Source organism: Homo sapiens, chromosome 10, assembly GCF_000001405.40.
Source record: "Homo sapiens chromosome 10, GRCh38.p14 Primary Assembly".
Classification (NCBI taxonomy): Eukaryota; Metazoa; Chordata; class Mammalia; order Primates; family Hominidae; genus Homo; species Homo sapiens.
Window position 1 is genome coordinate 80402997 of NC_000010.11, and position 21568 is coordinate 80424564.

General features: G+C 47.2%; 1 protein-coding gene across 9 annotated transcripts in view, besides 6 other annotated features; it reads left to right on the forward strand.

Moving 5' to 3' along the window:
* Nucleotides 678-850: a silencer, noted in NCBI's record as "fragment chr10:82163430-82163602 (GRCh37/hg19 assembly coordinates)". NCBI's record gives its function as "represses an EF-1alpha promoter that drives an FKBP-Casp9 reporter gene in an ReSE screen in K562 erythroleukemia cells {active_cell/tissue: K562}" and the evidence as "EXISTENCE:reporter gene assay evidence [ECO:0000049][PMID:32094911]".
* Nucleotides 4833-21568, forward strand: part of PRXL2A (peroxiredoxin like 2A) — a 29287-nt gene continuing 12551 nt past the window's right edge. Inside the window, exons 1-3 of one of the 9 annotated variants that reach the window (NM_001243779.2) lie at nt 4833-4960; nt 17470-17649; nt 19421-19512. In NM_001243779.2, coding sequence (NP_001230708.1) covers nt 17472-17649; nt 19421-19512 — 270 coding nt within the window. In that variant the 5' untranslated portion in view covers nt 4833-4960; nt 17470-17471. Of the gene's footprint in view, nt 4961-5554; nt 6073-7997; nt 8076-10836; nt 10881-17003; nt 17650-19420; nt 19513-21568 lie in introns of those variants that run through there. The other 8 variants (XM_011540266.3, XM_017016775.2, NM_001243780.2 and 5 more) reach the window with 8 other exon arrangements.
* Nucleotides 5334-5623: a silencer, noted in NCBI's record as "silent region_2545". NCBI's record gives its function as "represses an Ori minimal core promoter by ATAC-STARR-seq in GM12878 lymphoblastoid cells {active_cell/tissue: GM12878}" and the evidence as "EXISTENCE:reporter gene assay evidence [ECO:0000049][PMID:35858748]".
* Nucleotides 5909-6502: an enhancer, noted in NCBI's record as "H3K27ac-H3K4me1 hESC enhancer chr10:82168661-82169254 (GRCh37/hg19 assembly coordinates)". NCBI's record gives its function as "activates a minimal SCP1, AML or CMV promoter by ChIP-STARR-seq in primed H9 embryonic stem cells {active_cell/tissue: H9 hESC(primed)}" and the evidence as "EXISTENCE:reporter gene assay evidence [ECO:0000049][PMID:30033119]".
* Nucleotides 7349-7848: an enhancer, noted in NCBI's record as "H3K4me1 hESC enhancer chr10:82170101-82170600 (GRCh37/hg19 assembly coordinates)". NCBI's record gives its function as "activates a minimal SCP1, AML or CMV promoter by ChIP-STARR-seq in primed H9 embryonic stem cells {active_cell/tissue: H9 hESC(primed)}" and the evidence as "EXISTENCE:reporter gene assay evidence [ECO:0000049][PMID:30033119]".
* Nucleotides 14288-14830: an enhancer, noted in NCBI's record as "NANOG-H3K4me1 hESC enhancer chr10:82177040-82177582 (GRCh37/hg19 assembly coordinates)". NCBI's record gives its function as "activates a minimal SCP1, AML or CMV promoter by ChIP-STARR-seq in naive H9 embryonic stem cells {active_cell/tissue: H9 hESC(naive)}" and the evidence as "EXISTENCE:reporter gene assay evidence [ECO:0000049][PMID:30033119]".
* Nucleotides 18645-18724: an enhancer, noted in NCBI's record as "active region_3654". NCBI's record gives its function as "activates an Ori minimal core promoter by ATAC-STARR-seq in GM12878 lymphoblastoid cells {active_cell/tissue: GM12878}" and the evidence as "EXISTENCE:reporter gene assay evidence [ECO:0000049][PMID:35858748]".

Here is a 21568-nt window from a genome sequence, read left to right on the forward strand (position 1 = left end):
TTTACCAATGTTTACATAATTTCATTTTTATTGCATTTTTAATACTCCAATACTATGGAGATAAAGGGCTAGTTCCTTATTTAATTGAAATCAACATTTTTCCAGGTAAGAAATTTGCTTTCAGTGTTCGATAAAGAATTTTTATTATATTTAAGTGATTTGCTTTTATTTCTATTTTACTTAGGGCTATGACTAGGAAATTCTACAATTTTAACTGGATTTCTTTTCAGCATCTATTAATATGATAAGCAGTTTTGTTCCTGTTTTCTGTTCATATGGACTAATAGATCTACTAATGTTGACACCCGCTTACAATCCTGGACTAAACTCTACTTGATTATAGAATAGCAAAGCTTGTAATTTCTAAGTTGCTCATTTTTTCACATTTTAACATGTCTGAAATTGGGTCACGCATTACAATTAGTGGTGTCCTATGACTGCTATTGTAGTAACAGATGTGACAGTTGTCATTGCCTGCACACCCGTCAATGTAGTCATAGCTGCTTAGATTGTTGACCCTTCAGTTGAGTTATGGACATTGCTTGTACTCCATGAGTTGACTTTAAATGCTCTATAAAATCTTCTAGGGCCAGGTGCAGTGGCTGACGCCTGTAATCCCAACACATTGGGAGGCTAACAGTGGAGGATCGCCTGAGTCCAGAAGTTTCAGACCAGCCTGGGCAACATGGTGAGACTCCATCTCTATTTTTTTGTTTTTTATTTTATTATTATATACATATTTTTGAGACAGAGTCTTGCTCTGTCGCCTAGGCGGGAGTGCAGCGGCGCGATCTCGGCTCACTGCAAGCTCCGCCTCCTAGGTTCACGCCGTTCTCCCGCCTCAGCCTCCCGAATAGCTGGAACTACAGGCGCCGGCCACCAAGCCCGGCTCATTTTTTTGTATTTTTAGTAGAGACGGGGTTTCACCGTGTTAGCCAGGATGGTCTCGATCTCCTGACTTCATGATCCGCCCGCCTCGGCCTCCCAAAGTGCTGGGATTACAGGCGTGAGCCACGCGCCCGGCCTTTTTTTAAAATTTATTTTTATTTATTTTTATTTTTTTGAGACGGAGTCTCGCTCTGTCGCCCAGGCTGGAGCGCAGTGGCGCAATCTTGGCTCACTGCAAGCTCCGCCTCCCGGGTTCACGCCATTCTCCTGCCTCAGCCTCCCGAGTAGCTGGGACTACAGCTGCCCGCCACCACGCCCGGCTAATTTTTTTGTATTTTCAGTAGAGATGGCGTTTCACCGTATTAGCCAGGATGGTCTGGATCTCCTGACCTCGTGATCCCACCGCTTTGGCCTCCCAAAGTGCTGGGATTACAGGGGTGAGCCACCACGCCCGGCCTCTATTTTTTTAAACAGTAAAATCTTCTAAAATATTACTCCAAGATTTGACACTGAAATGAAAAAGTTTTTGCAAATGCAGAAATTCATAAAATCAGAGCAGTGGAACATAAATTTGATATTAGTAAAGCAACTTTTGTTATCAGAAGAATTACTTCATTTTCCTATATTCTTGCAGAGCAACAATTGAGACACTTATGGAACCTAAGAAAGCTATACATACACACACAAATGAAGTCTATTATGTTTTGCTATTGAGAAACACACAAAAGAATTGTAAGGCACTGGAAAAGTTGCCAAATCTCTTGAAATGGATAAAAGGAATTCCAAAGCAATGAAAGGTTGGTGTCATCAATTCATTTGTTTTGAAGGACTATCATTAAGATGTCAAACATCTTTTTGTCAAAAACTTCTGCTGATGTTGAGCAGAAGGCTATATGGAGCACCCTTTAAGAAATGCTGTGTTACCAATGTTTCTAATGGTCAGAGGATAATATTGTGTGACAAATCCAGAAATCAGCAACTCTAAGTCTAAAAATAGTAAAAAAACAAAAAAACAAAAAAAAAACAAAAAACGAAAGAGTTGGGCTTTGAATGTGAAGATATCTAAGGAATGCCTTATCCTGTTCATTTCACTTATATTTTTTCTTTTTAAGTGTGCACACAGGGATAGATGAGTTGGGAATGAACCTAGACTTAGAGTGCAGTAGTACCCTGGCCACAATGACTGGCCAATCAGTATGAGGATCTGGGTTTTGTTCACTCCTTAGTCTAACTGCCCCTTCCCCATGTTGGATCCTAGGAATCATCCTATGACCATAGGGAGAACCATCCTTAATATGAAGCCAACACATGGATAATGGCAGAGAAGCAAGAGAACCTCGACTGTTGATGACATCATGAAACCACAGGATCACCTCAAGGCAACTGGAATTGGGTTTTCTGTTAACTTGCAAATCAAAGCTTCCTAACTGAATAAAGACTCAGTTAATGTTAGTTGGTAGTGCATGCAATGATGGTTGAGGACACTTGAGACAATCCTGCTTTCTCAACCTGGGGGCAGAATAATACCACCATCTAGCCCTCAGTCAGCCATCGGTTCACCTGGTAAACCATTGGCCACATTTATGGAAGGTTTTAGAAAGAGGTCCCTATTGACTTTGCTTTGCTTTGAGACACACTGTGGAAGTATAGGATTTTTTATGCTTAAAACAAATAAGAAAGAGCTGAATTCAGGGATATTGGCATATAGAGAAAATATTTGAAGCTGATCTATGCACATCTATTTTTGAGATTCACATACAAGTCTTGTTCTTGATTTCGCTTTTACCCATCCACAGAATGGTAACCTGGGCCTGACATATTGAAGTGAAGTATCAGTTTTTGCTCTATTTTCATCTTGATGCTAGCTGCTTCCTGACTGTTCCCAGCGAGCCCAGACACCACAGGGCCATAAGCTTAAAAAGATCATGTTACTTCAGTCACTGCTGAGTAGCAGACGAAGCTGAAGCCAGCTGAATCTAGAAGTGCTATGACGCTGAAAAAGTCAGGAGTCTTTACCCAGATCTGCCTCCTGCAAGCAGTGTTTTCTGCCTGCCCTATGGGACTTGTGAGGGACAGAAAAGTTTCCCAGCCCCTGTCAAGATGGTAACATTATCTAAAGTTATCACAAAGCTTCTAGTCAACCTTAATTTCTACCACCTGAAATTCAGAACCTAAGGCTATTTTACAATCTTTACAAAATTTAAATTATTTTTCTCTTAAAAGCTGGGCAGGTTGGTGGGTTTTCTTGGTTTATTCTTCAGGTTTTTTGTTTTGGTTTGGTTTTTGGTTTTAGTCCTTGAGCTTTGTAAATAAGTTTTCCTGCGCCTGCTTGCCTGTAACTTATTTTTCTGGTCTAATGACTGTTTTTTAATGAGTTCAGCCTGTGCTTTCTTGTACAAAAAGAAACGTGGGCATGTGAGGAGCATATTAATTAGCTATCAGATGTAGCCTGGTTTTTGAAGTCCAGATCTTCAGGATGTTACCGAAGTGTAAATATAAGCATGACTTTTGCACGTGATTAGTAATTACATCACAGTTAAAGCCTCAGGGGACCTTCCACCCCAGAATTCTGCTATCCTCAACCCCTGAATGGCTCTGTCATTAATGGTCAGTCTCCAAGAACTCATTTCCCAAGGAAATGACTTCCTGTTTTGTTCTAAGTGGCCTTCCCTGCAAACCCTCCTCACCTTTGAACTTCCTATTTTGGGATGGAAAGATTGACCCTTCTCCCGCTCCTCTTCACAAGGTAAGGAGAAACAAGGGAGAAGAAAGAAAGGTCCTCTGGAGAGAGATATATGTATCATACATATCTTATACATATATCATATATATCTTATATATCTCATATATATCTTATATATATCTTATATATCATATATATATATATATATATATATATATATATAAAACTACACCCGCATTGCACCAAAGTATACGAAATATTTTCTGGCCTTCAAATCATATGCCTAACTCCTGCAGGAAAACTGCATGGGCACTCAGGCTGATCTCCCTTACCCCACAACTTAGATCCACCTCTCACGTTTTCTAAGTTTATTTCCACGCTGTCCCTGGGCCAGGCTCTAGGGTCCCAGAGGTGAAGTGGAGGAATTCACAGTTTGGTTGAGGAGAGACCCCCTTGAATAGATCAAGCTCCCCAAGTGTTGCTGTAAGTTTACATGGAACATGGAGTCTGAGTGGGAAGTCAGGGAGGTGAATCACGGAAGCCTTTGGACTTTGTACACCTGTGGGCAGCTCCCAGATGAAGGGGGGAAGGTGTTGCAGGCAAATGACCACCTTTGACGGGCGGACATCGGCCTGCTTTGCCACTTCACCTTATGCTGCCCTGTGACTGGTCTTTGCACTGTGTCACCGATATGTCTTTTTTTTTTTTTTTTGAGACGGAATCTCACTCTGTCACCCAGGCTGGAGTGTAGTGGCACCATCTCGGCTCACTGCAACCTCCACCTCCGGGGTTCAAGCTATTCTCCTGCCTCAGCCTCTTGAGTAGCTGGGACTACGGGTGCGCGCCACCACACCCGGCTAATTTTTGTATTTTTAGTAGAGACGAGGTTTTGCCATGTTGGTCAGGCTGGTCTCGAACTCCTGCCCTCAAGTGATCTGCCCGCCTTGGCTTCCCAAAGTGTTGGGATTACAGGCATGAGACACCGAGCCCGGCCAACCACTAATATGTATCGTGAGTCAGCTCTGCTGTCTCTGAAAGTCCAACCTCCTACTTTTTGTTTTTTGTTGTTAAGACAGGGTCTTTTTTTTGTTTTTTAAAGACAGGCTGGAGTGCAGTGGCGCGATCTGGGCTCACTGCAACCTCCGCCTCCCGGGTTCAAGCGATCCTCCCACCTCAGCTCCAGAGTAGCTGGAAATACAGGCACGCGCCACTATGCCTGGCTAGTTTTTGTTTTTTACGTAGAGATGGAGTCTTACTATGGTGCCCAGACTGGTCTTGAACTCCTGGGCTCAAGCGATCCTCCCAAAGCCCTGAGATTACAGGCGTGAGCCAGCGCGCCGGACACAACCTCCTACTTTCATGAAAGAGTGGGCACTTCCAACAGGAGGAGTAAGTGGATGAGCGGTGTGTGACACACCCGCCTCAGCGTCGCCCGGAGTCCGCAAGGCTGCGGCTCACCGTTCTCTGCCCCATAGCTGGCATTGTGGAGTGAAAGGGAACGTGGGTGGAGGATTGAGGTTGGAAATTCTGAATCTGTACATACAGCTTGAAGGGGCTCATCGAATGTGTCGGTCCTTTAGATTCCCCCTGCCCATGGAGGTTAAAAAAAAAAAAAAAACCTATCAAAAGAGCTATTCAAAACCAGGCTGAAGATTGGAAGGAAGTTGGCCAGCCTCGGCTGCAGGACAGGTGCTTCCAGGCTCCATTAGGGGTGTCCAGCGCCTTCTTTTGCCCTAGGCAGCGCCCTGAAGAACGCGTCGGGGCCTCGGTTCGCGGACTTGAGGAGTGGACCGACCGAGCGCTGTGCGTAAAAGGACCGCTGGGGCACACGCCCGAGCGCCACCGGAGCTAGGAGACCGCGGCCCGGAGGTCGGCGAGTCGGGGGCAGGCCCGGAGCTCCTCCCACGGGGGGCGGGGCGGGTCACATGGCGGTGGCGCGGTAGCGCGCGATGCAGCACAGGCTAGAGGCTGCGCAAGCGCGGGGCCCGCCCCTGGGACCCTCCGGGCCGGGCGGTTTGGCCCCTTAGCGCCCGGGCGTCGGGGCGGTAAAAGGCCGGCAGAAGGGAGGCACTTGAGGTAGGTGCTGCGCGCCGGGGCTCCGCGAGGCACGTGATGTCCGTAGGCGGGGCCTGCCGCGGCGTAGGTGGGGAAACTGAGGCAGTGCAGGGCCGGTAGGGTGGGTGCTGGGCTGGTGAGGCGCGCCCCTCGGGCCCGCGCCAACTTTCTTAGGAGCCGCCGCAGCGCTGGCGCTCCCTCCGAGGACGACGACCCTTCCGCCACCCTGCGTGGCGGCCGATGGAAAAACCCTGCGCCCAGACGTCGGAGAACGGAGACGGGGACCCGGCGCTGCTGCGGCGGGCTAGGGCCCCCTCTGTCCACGCCCGCAAGCCTTGAGTGACGCCGGTGGCGCCAACCTTCGCGAATTGTTGGGACAAAGAACAGAGGAGAGGGCCCTGCCCTGGAGCATGGGCCCGGGGGCCGCCCTGCTGGACCAGCCCCAGGTGCGGACCTGGCAGTCCTCGTCCTCGTCTCTGTGCCCGCTTAGGGTCGTGTCTTTTAAGAGGGCACGGTTTCTAGCGTTGTTCAGCGTTTCGGAGGCACCTGTTCCCCCTCTTTCCCAAGAGTCACAAACGCCTGACTTTAAATTGGGTAGAGCCCAGTTGTAAACTTAACAGCCCTGCTGAGGTCTAGGAATGAAAAGATGAACAATCTGCCCCCAGGGTTGTTGCTGGAGCGGGAGGTGAAGGCGCAGGTGGAGATGGTTAGAGGCAAAGGAAGGGAAGTCAAGGCCCAGCCGGTCCAGGGCTGTGGGAAGGAGGCACACCCGGGAGTCCACTGCCGGACCGGGGTTCCCAGCTGCTCCTGCGCCTCTTTTCCTTGCCACATCATGCTGTCTGCACAGCCCAGCAACCCAGAACTCAGCTTTTTTGTTTGTTTTATTTTAATGTATTTTCCTTTGAACCTGGCAGGTGGTTTTTCAAAAAGAAAATAATCAAGATTTGTTTTGAAAAGCATTGTGAAAAAGTCAGCTTGAATAGTCTTGAATGCTCCTGCTCGGGCCCAGCTTTGGAGAATGAGGATTGGGATTTCCACTGCAGACCCCGACTCGTTACCATACTCATTCATCAGAAAACTCTTCATTTTGTGTACAAATAACGTTTTGAGGGTAATCATTGCTCTAGAAATGAAGAATTATACATCGTATTTATTGCACTTTTTGTAAGGTACCTCACAAGGCACCTCCTATACATTTAATCCTTTGATTCTTGCAACTCTGTAGAAGGTAATTAAGGAAGCATTCCCATTTTACTGATGCAAAACAGTTCCTTGTCCAGGTTTATACAGCTTGCAAGAATTAAAGTTAGATATTATTCTTGGTGTGGGCCTTTCCTATATCCCCGTCTTTTATAAGAGCATGTCATTTAGTTGAGACCTTCTGCATTACTTCTGAAGGGGTACAAAAGACATTTCTGATGATTTTCTCATCTCGTGTCATTTAAATGGTGCTCAGAAAGTTTGGATAGGACTGGAACTCTAGGGCTCAAGCCCCAGGCTCTGTCCCTATCTAAGCAATAGGGCAGCTGTCCTGCCAGTTGGGTTCTTGCTTCTTTGTGAAATGTTGAGCAGAAGCTCCAAGTCTCTCTGCTGTGGCTTGTGTGGCAAGAACCATCCTGAGGTTCTGTGCAGAGAGCCAGCCTCACCTTTGAGCTCAGTGGCCTCTGGCACAGGGAAATTACAGCTGGGCAGTGTCCTTTGCCTTCTCTGGCACTGCTAGTGCAGGAGGCAGTGTTAGCTGCTACAGGAATAGCATGGAGCGGGCCTGCAGGCCAGAGGGGCTGAGACAAGCCAGTGTTCCCACCAGACCTAGAACGTTCACCAGAAAGCAGGCCTGCAGTGACACAGCTGCAGAAGTTCACTATTTTGTGCCTGTCCTGCTTCAGATATCCTGTCTTTATAGGGGCACGAGTGAATCTGAGCCCTGCAAAAGAGAGAAAGATAATGCTGCTTTGCCGTTTTCTAGTGCGTTACCGCATTAAAAATTGCTCTTCTTATATAATCTTTATGACAACTCTTTAAAGTGCCCTTGTTTTTAAGAAGACACTGAGGTTCAGAGGGATAAAATAACTCTCAGAGTCAAAGAGAGAAAACCCAGGATTATTGGCTTTTAGCCCAGTGTCTTCTGTGGTATTGCCTTGCCTTCCTATCCACACCCATATAACTTGATGAAGCCGGAGTTCTGAGCCCAGACAGGAGGCTGTGCAAGTGAGATTAGAATGGCTTGCTCTTTGAGGGGTGGGGGGCCCTACAGCTTGAGGAAACAAGAGGACATAATCAGCTACTGGGAAACCCTGAGATACGCCCAAGAGTGAGGAATGTGGGGGCTGGTGCTGCTTTCAGCATCTATTCAGAGGTTTCTGAATCTGGCATTTGAGAGTAGGACTGGGCCAGAACCAGGCAGATACACACCCCAAGGAGCAGGGCTGAGAGTTGGAGACTGAGGCAGGTAGGTGAGAGCTCATTGCAAGTGACTGATTTTGTGGTATATGAAGACAAGGGTGGGTGGAAGGGCATCTGTTGCTCATAAGGCTCTGTGTGCCTGCATCATCAGTATGCTAGACAAGGATGGACAGAGTCTTGTTATTGTGGGGAAGAGAGGTGCAGAATGGCTTCTCAGCGGAGACTAGGCAATGAGACCCTTAAGACATTTGGCTTCAGATTATAAGCTGCTTACCAAGGATTGGGCTTGGGAGAGGCTGATGATGTTCTCTCCAGGCAGCAGATTTCCCAGGCCCTGTTTACGGGCAGTCTTGCTCTTAGCTTGCCTGAGGCCAGTGAACAGGCTTCAAGACCTGCAGGGCCCCACTTCCTGAGCCCAGACTGCCATGCTATTCCAGCCTTAGAGGCCACTGGCCCTTGGCTGGCTGCCCAGGACCTAGCGTGTCTGATGCAGGATAAACAGTCATGGACTGGAAGTTGGGAGACCCAAACCTGAGTCCCAGTGCAGCCACTGACAACCTGCCCTGCCCATGTGACCTTGGACTAGCCAGCTCCTTCTCTGAGCTTTAGTTTCTTCATTTGCTCAGTAAAATGAGCTGAACCAGCGCTTTGAGGGAAGGAGAGGGAAACAGAGGAGACCAGAGAAGGAAGATGAAGCATCCTTTCAAGACTTGTTCACTGAGGGCCTGAGGCAAGGAGGCCCATGTGCACTCTTAGTTTTTTGTCTCCCTCAGCACCTTTTCTTGCTTCTCCCCTATCTCTGCCTCAGGCCAGCTCATTCTGAAGAGGGACGATTCCCTGGGTGGGGCTGGGCTGGGCAGGTGTACCCTTGATGTTTAGAATATGATGCTGTCTCTACTTGTTTCAGACATGATTTAACTCAGCCAGTGCTGATACTTTGTTTCATTAAGACTTTATCAGTTCCTGCCCAGAGGCAGCTCCTGGAACAGTCAGGAGTTAGGCCCAGCAAAGGAGGCAGGGTGAATGTGCACACCCAGCAGAAGAACAGTGGTGGCAGGGGTTCCCATGGCTTTCTAGACATCAGATCCCTGTAGTTGCAGTCACATGGTACTTTAGAGTCTTTGGATGTCAGAGCTAAGACAACCTCATAGAATTTTGAGTTCCTTCCTCTGTATAGATGATGAGATCCAGGCCCCGAGTGTCTTCATACCTTAAGTCAGATTGCCCTGCTAGTGAGCAGTAGAGCGAGGACCCAGCCTAAGGTTACCTAAGTCCCAAGCTAGAGTGTTTTCTTTAATATCAAGCCAGCCCTGTCCAAAATTGCCTTTCATACTGAACTGAAATTGGAATTGAGTAGTTATAAGTTCCAAGTCTGCCTCACTGTGGAATTCTAAGAGTAAAATTCAGATAATTTAATTAACATTTAATGCCTGATAATTACCAGGATCTGTGTTGAGTGCTGGGGATGCAGGAATGAAGACGACAACACATTGTGCCAACATATTGTGGAGACAGACATGTAAATAACTAAAATTTACACAATTCATTTGTGCATTGTGCAGGGTTATGGGTGTGTGCGCACACACATGCACGCTATAGAAGAGGTCAGTGAGCAGTCAGTTGTCAGGGCTTTCAGGAAAGGCTTTGGAGAGGAAGTGTTATGTGTGCTGGGCCTTATGAATAAGTAGGCATTTACGTGGTTGGCCTGGGTCAGAGGGGGGCATCCCGGGCAAAGGAAACAACATGAGCAACACTTGCTGAAGCCAAGCTGTGGAGGGCCCCATCAGCTGGCTTGCTGAGGAGTTTATTGTTAGTGAGAGTCTGAACACAAGGGAAAGGTGTAATCAGGTGGGGGTGTGCTGGGATCGCTCTGACTACGGCTTGGAAAATAAACTATAGAGGACCAGACTAGAACCAAGCCAGATTCATTCTGTGGTTCTTGAAATAGGCTAGGGACAGAGTTATAGGATCCTGGGTTTGGGCAGCAGCAGTGAGGTCGAGAAGAGGATGGGTAGCAGATACATTTTAGAAGATGGACAGAACTTCCTGAGTCGATGTAGGCAGTGAAGGCAAATGAACAGTAAAATGTGAACCCCTGTCCCCCACTGTCCCCCCTCCCTGCCCCCCCATCTACTGAGCCATGGAACTCCAGCAGAGAAATCGACTTTAGTTTTGGATGTGGTACAACCAAGACACCTACAAAACCCCCAAGTGGAAACTTTGGGTCAGAACAGCAATAGGAACTTGGAAGTCAATAACAAAGTGGTGGGAGAAGTGCTGGAAGTCACCCAGGAAGGGAGTGTGGGTTGAGGGAAGCCACCGATGTGGCAGAAAAGGAAGGGAAAGCAAAAGGAGGTAAAGAATAGACAGCAGATGAGGGGCCTCAGAGGTGCCAGCTGACTTTCCAGGCCTGGGGTGAGGAATGGGGCAAGGGAGCAGGCTGCACGAGGAGCCACAGAGAAAAGGACATCTTCTTTTATTTGCGCTAGTATGACATGTGGGCTGTGTTACGAGCTTTGCTTCTTTAGTCTGCACCGGATAGCAGAGGAGTCTGGTGGCACTTGGGAAATGTTATAATCTGCATGACTGCAAATGACTCAAAGCTTTGCTCAACTTTTTGAAGGGCTAGGGGGCCTTGGCAGCTTTCCATTTAGATGTTTTCTGGAGACTGACTGTTGGCAGCTGAAGGAGCCCCAGGGTTTCTGGGTGGCCTGGTCCTGCCTATGGAGTGACTGAGCCTAGGGACCTAGTCCCGCCTCCAGCCCTCCCCTTGCCGCCTGCCCAGGCCCGTCTGCTCACCCCTGGATATACTTCTTTGTCAAGAGAAGCAGAGGTGTGGACGCTGTGTATGGTGAGTGCCTTGTTCCCAAGTTTGAAGCGTCTGAGGTTGGGGGTAAGAGACCGTTTGAGGAAGGGAGTTGCCTTGTATAGGAAAGAGACAGGGTCTCGAAGCTGGAAACTGAATTTGGGGCGGTGGGGGCAGTGTTGAGGAGCCTAGAATGTTCTGACTCCAAAGTGACCTGTTTTTGTTAGACTCATAGGATGTCACTGGGGATCATTAGGAACTTCCTCATGGAGTTGAGAAAAATGGGGCCTGGGGAGGAATTGATTCAGCTTAGCCTAGGGAGCCCGACTGGGTCTCGTCCTCTTGCACCCATGTTCAGACCAGAGCTGCCACTCTGAGCTGCCACAGCTGTTGTTTGTTTGTGGCTTTATCCTACTTCACCTTCTGTGGGAGAGGGTGGATCAGATAAGCCCAGCAGTGGGGAACTGAATGCTATAGCTGTGTCAGGTGGGGGCTGGCTCTTCTGTAAACAACCCTACTATTCTGTTTCAGAGAAACTGACCCTTTCCTTAATGGAAGGGGGGATAGAAAGGGGGAGGAAAGAGAAGGAACATCTGGTGTATGGTAAATTTCCTTTAGAGTAAACATGGTTTGACTGTACACGATGACTGAAAAAACAAGGTGATTAAAAACACATTCTCTTTAAGACAGAGGGAATCATACTCCTGGATCTCCAGGACCGACTTCTTTCTTCTTTTCTTTGTTAATCAACAATTACAGCAGATGTAAACCCACTTCTGAATGTGTGGCGAGGAAAGGTAGTCTTTCAGGCTTTGGAGTCCTATTCCTGTTGACTTGGGTCCAGGTTGTAGTACTGCTGCCTGCTGGCTCTGTGACACAGGGAAGTTACTGAACTCTGAACCTCAGTGTTAGCTGCTAAACAGGATAATCTTTGCATCACAAGACTGTTGAGTGAATGAAATTAGGCCATTACTGACAGCTTCTAAGACGACTGGCTGCAGAGGTACGAAGGATTGCTGGCCTCCATACCTCTGCAATCTTAGAGACCCATGTGAAAATGCATCATTTCTGTTTAGAAATTAAAATTCCTTTGATTGTCCTTTTTTGTGTGTAGGAAAAATTGTGATTTCAGAATTCAGGGTCTGCTCACTGTGCAGCAAGTCACAGTAGTACGTGCTTCAAGACATGCCAGGATGGGAGTTGCTTTGTAGCCCAGGGGACTTGGATAAGAGGCTAGGCCTGTGTGCTCTCCAGGTATTCCTGGAAGTGAATTTTCTGTGCTTCTCTCTGGCACAAGAGTGGGCTGCTAGAGGCCCACTGGGTGCGGTCTGTCCATGGAGAGGCCTGATGCTCACCACTGGTCCTGATAACACTCTCAGCATGGTGCTGCAGTGCCTGAGGATGGGGTCCACTGCCCCAGAGGGCTGAATCTCTGCTCACACTTTCAGGATCACAGTGGGAGGTCAGAAGACAGCACTTATGGGGGTTTTGAGGTCTGGATCTTGTACCCAGCCCTTGAACTTGAGGTATGGAGATGGGGGTCTTTGGAACATAGAGGTTTGAGTTCTCAGGGTTCCTTCAGCACTGACACCTGCCCCAGTCAGCCTGCTGTCTCCCAGCTTAGCTGGCCCCATCCCAGCCTAGCCTGTCCATGCTGCCTCCTGTGTCCTACACCGGCTCCAAAGCCACTTCCTTCTGGGTGCTTCTGTGGCTACCCAGACTGGCTGTTATTCCTGCACCACCATAGCCTCATGCCCATACATTGCCCAAGCTGCCTCACCTTCCCACTTGATATTTTTTTGTTATTTGTGTACCAGGTCCATATTTTCTTGAGGATTGTGTATCATTTTATGTCCTCCCAAATCGCCATTTATTGAACAGGTCAGTACTGAATAAATGTTTGGAAATAAATGTTGAGTCTAGTTGAGTTGAATTCTCTTGTGCCTAGGAGCAAACATGCCAAACGCCCATCACTGGACAGTGGGAAGGTGGAGGCTGTTTGAGTGTGGCAGGGGTGTGTTGGAAGAATGTGGAGCTGACTGTGAGGGGCCCTGGACTTTGTGAATGCACTGATGTGTCCTAGGAGTCAGAGTCCATTTGTGGGATAGATGTAAACTGGTCTTTGTATACTGACGCAGAAATGCCCATCAAATCTGTGATCAGAGACCATTCTATGTGCTCCTGAGTCATAACACAAGTCAGAAATCCAGGAACATTTTGGAAGTGCATAAAGGTACAGAAGTTGTTCCAGGCTCTGGGAAATCTCTTGTTTACAGCAAGCAGATAAGAGCTGTGGTTTTCCTCCTAATTGTTCTGTGAACTGTCATCCAGTAATGTGTAACTTTGTCAAATTAAAGAATTGGAAGCAGGCCTGTGGCAGGTTCTTTCCTGTTTGTCCCAAGAACTTTAGTTGTCCATAAGCCATTGTCTCTGTAATTCAATTCTGTTGAATTCATTTCAGCATGCACTTGTGGTGAGCCTGCTTTGTACCAGAGGTGCGCTGTGCTAGGTATGAGAGATTCAGAGATAAACTGCAGAATGTCACCAAAGGAGAGAAATCTGACAGGTCCAAACCAGTGTGTCAAGCACATCAGAAGAAATGTGGGTGATGTTTGGGCACAGAACTGAGGAGGGGGTGAATCAACACCTCTTGGGGGTAGAAGTGGGAGGCTGGAAGTAGGGGGCTGGCAGAACATCAGGGAAGCCTTCTTAAAGAGGCCTCTGAGTTGTGAAGCACAGAATGAAATAGGATATTCCAGGCAGAGGGGTAGAGATGTGTGCACGTCTGTAATGTTCTGTTCTCAGGGTCTTGGCGGGGGGCCCAGCTCTCCAAGCCCAGACCGCCCTCGTGACTTTACTTTATTCTGGTGGCTGATGGCCAACCAAGCACGAAGTCCTGAATTCTTTGCTCTAACACAATGCTTCTCAAACTTTAACGTGCTTATGAATTGCCTGCCAGTCTGACTAAAAGGCAGTATAAGATTCCTTAGTTCTAAGGTGGGGGTTGAGATTCTTCGTTTCTAGATGGTGCCATTTATTGGTTACATTTTGAATAGTGGGTAGTAAGAAACTCTTCTTTCTCAGCACAGGTCCCTCATGTCAGACTGTTGTACCCAAGCGAGTTAGTGAGAACGCCACACTTTGAGACGAATTAAGAGTCCTTTATTAAGCGGGTGGCCAAAGAGACGGCTAACGCTCAAAATTCTCTCGGCCCCGAGGAAAGGGCTTGATTAACTTTTATACCTGGTTTAGGAAGGGGAGGGGGACTCAGATGCAATAATTCTACAGAAGTAAAAACATGCAAGAATCAAAAGAAGCAAAATGGTTACAGAGAGATAAACAATTTAAAAGACAAATGGTTACAAAAAGAGCAACGGTACCAGGTGCAAGGCTCTAAATCTTTCATTATAATTAGATATAGGGAGTATGTCGGACCCGAACTCAAGGCTTTATGTTGTTATCTCTTTAAGAAAAATCCTGGGAACTTCATACATTGTTGGTGCTAGTACCTTATCAGTTAATTGGGCTCCTTTGAAACGCTGAGGATCTGCTTACACAGGTCAACTCCTTGCGGAAGGGGGTTGGGTAAGGAGCCCTTAGTGTCTTGTAAATTAAGGGGTCAATTGGAGTTTGTCTGGCTTTCCCAGCTAGAAAGAGTCTTATTTACAGGAGAAGCAAGGCTAGGTGATTAAAGAGACAAGCAGGATAAAATTCAAAGTAGCGAGTTAGAGTAAAAACAAGGTTAGGCATTTCAAGACAACCATAGCAGCACCCCCTTCCCCAACACACACAGGCACTGATTTTCCCCTTCTTTTTCCGCTTCCCAAGTATATAGATGCCAAATTCCTCTTTCTTAGATGTTGTTTTTTGTTTGGTTACCCCCGTTACCTGGAACTTCTTTTCTTCTTCTTCATCTTTTTTTTTTTGTTTTTTTTTTTTTAAAGACAAGGTCTTGCTCTGTCACCTAGGCTGGAGTTCTGGGCTATAGTGATCCTACCACCTCAGCCTCCCAAATAGCTGAGACCACAGGCGTGTGCCACCATGCCCAGCTAATTTTTTATAGACAGGGTCCTCCCATGTTGTCCAGGCTTGTTTCAAACTCCTGGGCTCAAGCAACCCTCTTGCCTCAGCCTCCCAAAATGCTAGGATTACAGGCAGGAGCCACCGCACTCAACCAAGGTTCTCTCTTATTCCTTTTTTTTTTTTTTAATTATTTTAGATTCATGGGGTACATATGCATATTTGTTACATGGGTATATTGTGTAGTGATGGAGACTGGGCTTTTAGTGTACCCGTTATCCAATAGTGACCCTTATACCTGATAGGTAATTTTCACCCCACCCTCCCCTCTTCAGCTGTCCCCAGTGTCTGTTATTTCTGTCTTCATGTCCATGTATACTATTGATTAGCTCCCACTTGCAAATGAGAACACGTGGTATTTGATTTTCTGTTTCTGGGTTAGTTCACTTAGGATGATGGTCTCCAGCTCCATGTTGCTGCAAAGGACATGATTTCGTTCTTTTTTTATGGCTGCCTCTTTTGTTTCTTAAATCTGAATTTCCATGTGGCTTCAATGCTAGTCTGGCCTACCCTTTCCTTCCCAAAGTCACCACCAACTCACTCCCACCCCCACCTCATGCAGTGCACCCCTCACAGCCCCCACCCTTGGCAGTGACATTTGGATTTCCAGGGCCTTTCCTGATCCTTTAGAGACATCCTCTCCCGGCCAAGTCCTGCAAGGGAGACTTGAGTCAGAGGTTCGATGGGCTGGGGTGAGGTGGGCCACACAATTACCACACCCACTCCCAGGCCTATTCCCGGTGATCTAAGCACACAGAAGCAGGCTGGTACTTAGGGAAGAAGGCACCAGTGTATGCCAGAGCTTAGGATGGCGTGAGGACCAAATGGAAAGATAGATATTGTAAGTGGTTGTTGGGAGAAGGAAGGCTGGAGGTGGGGGTACTTTGTGGGCTGCTTCCAGGAGCTCCCACCCACAGGCACAAGTCTTCCTAGCTGGCAGAAGAAGCCAGGAACAAGGCTGAATTCTGACAGAACCCGCCTGGAGCTCCATTTCAGTTGCAGAGACCTTTATCTTATGCAGCTGTCTTTTGCCCAGCCTCCTCTGCAGATGCCATAGGACCTCCTCTTTCTTTTCTTTTCTTTCTTTTTTTTTGAGACTGAGTCTTGCTCTATGACCAGACTGGAATGCAGTGGCACAATCTCAGCTCACTGCAACCTCCGCCTCCCGGGTTCAGGCGATTCTCCTCCCTCAGCCTCCCAAATAGCTGGGATTATAGGCATGCGCCACCATGCCCAGCTAATTTTTGTATTTTTAGTAGAGACAGGGTTTCACTGTGTTGGCCAGGATGGTCTCCATCTCTTGACCTCGTGATTCACCTGCCTCGGCCTCCCAAAGTGCTGGGATTACAGGCATGACCCACCGTGCCCTGCCAGGACTTCCTCTTTCTTTTTTTTTTTTTCTTTTTTTTTTTTGAGACGGAGTTTCACTCTTGTTGCCCAGGCTGAAGTGCAATGGCACGATCTCGGCTCACCGCAACCTCCGCCTCCCAGGTTCAAGCGATTCTCCTGCCTCAGCACCCCCGAGAAGCTGGGATTACAGGCACGCACCACCACGCCCGGCTAATTTTGTATTTTTAGTAGAGATGAGGTTTCTTCATGTTAGTCAGGCTGGTCTCGAACTCCCGACCTCAGGTGATCCGCCCACCTCGGCCTCCCAAAGTGCTGGGATTACAGGCATGAGCCACCGCGCCCTGCCAGGACCTCCTCTTTCTGATATAACACCTGCATTTGTTTGGCAGACATCTGTGTAGTTCTGTTCACAGGAGAAAAAAGTCAGATTACTAAACACCAGTGTTTAACAGTGGCCATCAGTAGGTGGTAGCTTCAGAGAGTATTTGCTTTCTTATCGACTATGGTTTCATGTATTCTCTGTTTTGTTTTTTACTATAAGCATATTTTGTTTTTATATAAGGGAGAAATAAAGCTCTTCTCAATTGGGAGAAATTACTGCCTGCCTATAATGAATGAGGCCCTGCTGGGCACTGGCTGGGGGCTTGATGAGTAGGATATGGTCCCTGTTTTTGGAGGGTCGTCAAACTAAAGAGGAAAGAAGATAGGGGAACAAAACAGTGCGGTTGGTGTTCTAAGTATCCTCTGATCACAGAAGAGAAAGCTGCCCCTACCCAGGGACATGATCCTGAGCCACCTGGATTGTGAGGGAGAATCAGGCATTGATGAGGAGGGGAATGAGGAAGTAGTCTGCCTACAGGGGACATAGCTCGGCACAGCTCCACAGAGCTAGGGGCTGCAACTTGGGGCATGAGAAGAGAGAGCAGCAAGAGAACCATTTGAGAAGGCTGTCCTTTCTCTGTCATCACTCCTGATGCCCTGGTGAGCTCCACGGTGCAGGAACCTCCATGTGTGTGCTGCATCCCCAAGTTCTGGTGGCAGCAGGTGCTTAGCAGCCCTTGTCCAGTCTCGCCTGTGACACTGCTGCTCCCTTCCCCTGTCCTGACCTCCTGGTTGGCTGTCCTGCCAGAGCCTTGCCTGGAAGATGAAATTCCAGCTACCCTGTGGGAGCAGTAACGCCTTCTTCCTTCTTCTCAATCTCCAGAAATGTCTTTCCTCCAGGACCCAAGTTTCTTCACCATGGGGATGTGGTCCATTGGTGCAGGAGCCCTGGGGGCTGCTGCCTTGGCATTGCTGCTTGCCAACACAGACGTGTTTCTGTCCAAGCCCCAGAAAGCGGCCCTGGAGTACCTGGAGGATATAGACCTGAAAACACTGGAGAAGGGTAAGTGGTGACCCTTCAGGTCTCAGTACTTTTCCAAGGAGCTGGGATACAGGCTTACTGCTTTCTTTCTAAACTCTCTCCTTTTTTTAATTGAAAAGATAATATAACAACATTAGGAAAAATTTAATAACAATTTTTAAACTAGGAATAATTCTGTTACCCTAACACAGTAATTTTGATTTTGGCATATTCCTTTCCATGTGTACATATTACGTAGTTGTGCTTGGCTTAGGTGCTGTTTTACATTTTAGCTTTTCTTATCAAAAGCATTTCTCATTCTCTGTTGTTGTCTCTGTAATTATAATGATAAATTGCTCCATAATATTTAGTAATAATTACAATCTTTTACTAAACCAGTGCTTCCAGAGTGTATTCTGAGGAATTCCAGGCTTGTGGGATCGTCAAACTAAAAGGAGTTCCTGAGTGAACAAGTATGGGAGACACCTTTTATCCAATTCCATGCTCCTGATGCTCAGCACAGACATATGCTTATTAGAATGAGGTGTCTGGATTGCTGCTGATTCAGGCATGGCCAGCCCCTCCCTGTGAAGAAGCTGTGGTGTCTGAGGAATCACTTCAAGGTCACCCGTTAGAGCAGACCTGCCTATCTCCCTCTTCTGGGGGACTGCTAGAATCCATTGTGGACAGCTTAGAGCCACACACCCAAATGTGTTAGCTCTGCCTCCTTGCTGTGTGCTCTCAGTGTTAGAGCTGTAGCTTGGTGGGATTTCAGTCATGCCAGTGGTGTGGCAAGAGAGTTGGAGTGGTGAAGGTCTCATTGATGGCGTGGTCACCATGTTAGCCCCCCAGGTGGAAGTCATCGTCATCTGTTTAGTAAGTAAGGAAGCTTGCGAAAGGAAGGCAGGAGATTGTGCAGGTTTATAGTAGGTCACCTTAGTAAGATACTAGGAGAGAGAGAGACCTGTTAAGCTTTGTTCAACCCAGGGTTTCCCAATCTTATTTGATTACAGACTCTTCTCCCCACCCTCTCACCCACCTGACCCCATTTTTTTTTTTTCCACATAACATCTACGGGAACATGGATCCCTCTGGGAAATACTAAAATAATTAAGGGCTCATATTTATTGAGCCCTCACCAACTCTATATTACCAGACATTGTGGTGAGCACTTTTATATTCATCTTTCAATATGCCCTGTGGCCCAAAGTGGAGCTACTAGATATTTGCATTTTACAAATGAGGAAGCTGAGGTTCAAAGAGCAAAAATAACTTGCCCAGAGTTACACAGCTAGATTCAGATTCAGTTGGACCTTAGAGCTGGGCTTGTTGAACTACAGTACTGTACTACCCCAAAGCATTTTATTCCTAGGCATCTTCTATCCTCTCCTTCGTTAATAATATTGCAGGTAACATATTTAGGTTAAAAATTTGAGACTTTTTCAGTTTGGGCCATGTTTCTGTTCTGAAGGATTATTATACAATATCTGATGACATCAGCAATAGACAAAATGGCCATTTTTCCAGAAATGTCCCACTTCTGAATGTTCAGGTTAGAAAAAAGATTTTCATGGTGGGAGGGACCTACCGGGTATATAACAGGATTCTTAAGCTTGGTTAACTTTCTTCAGGAAGGTGTGTATTCTGTCTGTCTGTGTTTCCTGTGTGTCTTTTCCCACGTGTGAAATGCCTGTCCAGGTCCTCTACTAGGCCGGGTCTCTGACCTTGGCTGGACTTAGTGTGGTTCATGAGCTGCTTAGTGATTGGGGCTGGGCTGGGAGGAGATATCGAATTTCTTTTTTTCCTCTCTTAGAACCAAGGACTTTCAAAGCAAAGGAGCTATGGGAAAAAAATGGAGCTGTGATTATGGCCGTGCGGAGGCCAGGCTGTTTCCTCTGTCGAGAGGTGAGTGCAGATGAGGATCTATTCAGAGAAAGGGATCCTGGCAAGTAGGGGCCATTGTTTTCCGGCCAGAACCAAGGGTCGGTAAGCCAGCTTTAGCCTTTTACCCACATGTTCTGTTCTGTTATTTGCTCTAGGTATTTCTTTGATTTGTGCTCTTTTTTTTTTTTTTTTAAACAACTCACCCTCTCCTACTGGGGTTAGCAACACATCTCAGTTTCCCTTAGTACTCCCAGGCCTTTCACCCTGTGCTGTACCTTCTGAGTCCTGGACCATATTCCAATTTAATCAGGGGCAGTGACCAGGTCCAATTCCATGCTTCTGATGCTCAGCACAGATATATGATGTGCCTGGATTGCTTCTGATTCGGGTGTGGTCAGTCCCTCCCTGTGATGAAGCTGCAGTGTCGGAGGAAACACTTCAAGGTTACCTATTAGAGCAGACCTGCCTGTCTCTCTTTCCTTGGGGAGCTCTTAGAGTCCATCGTGGACAGCTGAGAGCCACATTCTCACATGTTAGCTCTGCCTCCTTGCTGTGTGCTCTCAGCATTGAATCTGTAGCTCAGTGGGATTTCAGTCATGCCAGTAGTGCATTTGGCATGAGAGTTTGTTGAAAGTTGGAGCTCACTGACTGGGTGGTCTCCAGGTTGGCCCCTCGAAGGGAAGACATCATCTATTTGTAGGTGATGGAGCTTATCAGTGGAAGGAAGGAACTGTGATTGTTGAAACACAAAATGCTAGTGTGAGAAGGAACATTGCCACTACTTGGATCTAGCCTTGTCCCTTTATAGGTAGGCAAACTGAGGACCAGAGTGGTTAGTGGTCTGTTTGTGGTCACACAGCCAGTCAGTGGCAGAAGACCCAGATTCTGAAATTACTGCCCTGCCTGGGAGAAAACTGGGAATGACAGTATTCCTGCTCTTGAGACAACTTTGCATCTCAAGCAGTGGCTGTGGCCCTGTCCAAATTGTCATCCTCATTCTCCTGGTTCCCCTCCCTGACCCTGAGACACCACCTTTCAGCCTTGCTGATCTCTCCATGCTTGTGTGGCTGGGCTGGTGAAGAATCCACTTGCACTGCTGGATGCATGTGATGCCTGCAGTACCCTACCCCCAGGGCACTGTGTGCCTGCTATCTCAGTGGGTCCTCACCATAGCCCTTGGAAATACAGCTTGTTTTACTCTCATTTTATTATTCTCATTACAGAGGAGGAAACAGTTACAGAGGTTGTAACAAAGCCACCCGGATCGGGGAGATGTATTAATTTTCTGTTGCTGTAACAAATTACCTCAAACTCAATGGCTTTAACCAGCACAGATTTATCTTGTAGTTCTAGAGGTCAGAATTCCAAAGCGGAATCTGGTTGCATTCCTTCTGAAGACTATAGGGGAGAATCCATTTCTTTTGCCTTTTCCAGCTGTTAGAGGCCACCTATGTATATTGGTTTATGGCCCCTTCCTCTATTTTTAGGTCAGCAATGGCTGGCAAGTCAGCAACAGCATGGAAGCCTGTTTTGACTTGATTTCTCGGGGCCATTAAAATCCAGAAGGTTCCAAGAGCAACAGCTCTCCCTAATTATAACCTGTTTCCCTCTGTACTGGTCTGTGCCCACATAGAACATTTAGTGGAAACTTACGTTTCCAAAAAGATGGGTGGATGGCAATCTGAGTTATTTTGAGTGGCCCAACTAGGAGGTATGTGACTCAGTTTCCACGTCATGGCTTTGTATAGTGCCACACCAGGAGTAAAGAGCCAGGAAAAGTGAGTAAGACCTTTCATCTCAGCCAGGTGCAGTGGCTCATGCCTATAATCCCAGCACTTTGGGAGGCTGAGGTGAGAAGATCACTTGAGCCCAGGAATTTGAGACCACCCTAGGCAACATAGCGAGACCCTGTCTCTACAAAAAAAAAAAAAAAAAAAAAAAAAAAAATTAGCCAGGCATGTTGGTGTGCACTTGTAGTCCCAGCTTTTCAGGAGGCCGAGGGAGGAAGATTGCTTGAGCCCAGGAGTTCAGGGCTACAATGAGCTATGATTGTGCCACTGTAGTTGGGCAACAGGGC